Source organism: Homo sapiens, chromosome 11, assembly GCF_000001405.40.
Source record: "Homo sapiens chromosome 11, GRCh38.p14 Primary Assembly".
NCBI classification, from domain to species: domain Eukaryota; kingdom Metazoa; phylum Chordata; class Mammalia; order Primates; family Hominidae; genus Homo; species Homo sapiens.
In genome coordinates, this window is record NC_000011.10 from 93,648,653 (window position 1) to 93,650,783 (window position 2,131).

Here is a 2,131-nt window from a genome sequence, read left to right on the forward strand (position 1 = left end):
TTTGCCTTGGTATAGCATTCCTACTCCCCAGATTCATGGTACTATATGTTTGATGGGTCACGTAGTGCTGTACCACCTCCTTCTACCTACTCATGATATAAAACTTTATCAAGACATTTACCTCCAAGGAAAGAATATGCTTAATAAACATTACCAAGAAAGCCTAAGAAGGCTCAATATTCAAATATTCATTCACATAACTATGTTCTTATTGGAGAAATCAAAAACTACAAGGGAAAAATGAATGATTTTGCATTAAAAATTTACCTTCTTTTTGGCAAAAACACCAAAAATAAGATGAAAAGACAAATGCTAAACTGAAAAAAAAATGGCAATTTAAACAAAGATTTAATGCAGAAAGAACAAGTCAGTACAGGAAATAATTGCAATAGAAAAGTGGACAAAGAATAAAATCTAGGAATTCACACAAATGATATATATAAACGGTCAAGAAATATATACAGAAAAACATTCAAATAATCCTAAAATGTAAATATTTGCCTATCAGACTACTAAAGATGAAAAGTATTGACAAAGTTGATAGGTTTTGTCAATACTTTTTCATCTTTAGTAATCTGATAGGCAAATATTTTCAGTTGGGTCAATAGTACTCTGTTGATGGGAACATAAATGGTTGAATGTGTCAAATATGTCTTTAATATTCATACCCTTGGTGTCAGTAATCCCACTCCTAAAAACCTATCATAAAAAGATAACTACACTAGAAGATGAATATTCATTATTTCATCCAACAGATATTTGCTGAGCTCTTATATGTGCAAGGCATTAGATTAGGAGTTAGGGATATTCTTTACTGGGCCAAGAACAAAATAAGCAAAGAAGCATTCATTATAGTCAAAGGAGACAAATGACAAAAACTGTGTGTGTGTGGTGGGGAGGTGTATGTGTGGGTGGGTGGGTGGGTAGTGGTGGTAGTGCTGGTGGTGAGAATGGTCAGGGCAAGAGAAGATGGAATGTCCTGCTCCTACAGGGTGATTAGGAAAGGGCTCTCTGTTAAGGACACATTTGAGAAGAGACTTTAAGGAACCAGGGAAACAAGACATAGAGATACCCATGAAGAGATGATTCCAAGTGAGGGAACAACAGGTGTGGAGATGGGAGCATGTTGGTGTGTCTAAGGATCAGCAAGGAGGCCGGTGAAACTGGAGCACAGTGAGGGAGGATGGAAACTGAAGCAGGTTGGATGGGGCCGAGGGATAGTGCTCTGAGATAATGCAGGACATTGTCAGCCATAGTAAGACCGTGAGGTTTACTTTCAATGAGACAGGCAGAACCGGAGAGCCCTATGCAGAGCAGTGATGAGCAATGACTTGAATTTGTAAAGACCCTCTGACTTCTTGGTAAGCAGAAAAGCCACTTGGAAGCCATGATAATCCAGATAAGATATGATGGGGGAGAGGACAGCAGAGGTGGCTGAAAGTGGTTGAGTTCCAGATACGTTTTGAAGATAGAGCCATCAGGATTTCCTCACGATACAGATGTGAGTTGTAAAAGAAAGGAGTCAAGGATGATTCTGAGATTTGCACTTGTTAGTATTATATTTATTGAGATGGGGAAGCCCGAGGAAGAAAATTTGGGTGAGGTAGACTCAGAAAAATCAAGGGCTTTCCACTTGTCAAGTTTGAGATGTGTCTTAGACATCTAAGTAGAGATGTTAGGCAAGCAGTTGGGTTATGAATCTGGAGTTCAGGGAAAGGTCTAGGTTGGAGATATATATGTGGGAGTAGAATGCTGGGATTTAGTCCTGAGTCCAGATGAGATCACCTAAGGAACAAATGTAGGTAAGGAACAGAAAAGTTCTGAGAATGGAACCCCACGATAGTCCAAGATTTGGAGGTCAGGAAGATGAGGAGAAACAGACAAAAGGGACTGAAGAGCAGTGGCCAATAAAATAGGAGAGCCTCCTAGAAGGTGGTGTCCTGGAAGGCAAACGAATTCCAACAAGTAATGATCAGGTGTCAAGTGCGGTTCAGAGGTCAAGGAAGATGAAGTTGGAGGACAAACCAAGGGCTTGACAACATGGAGGTCATGGTGACCTTGGCAAGAACTATGTGTGGAGGAATGTGGACAAAACCTGATGGAGTGGGTTTAGGAGAAGCAAGAAAAGATG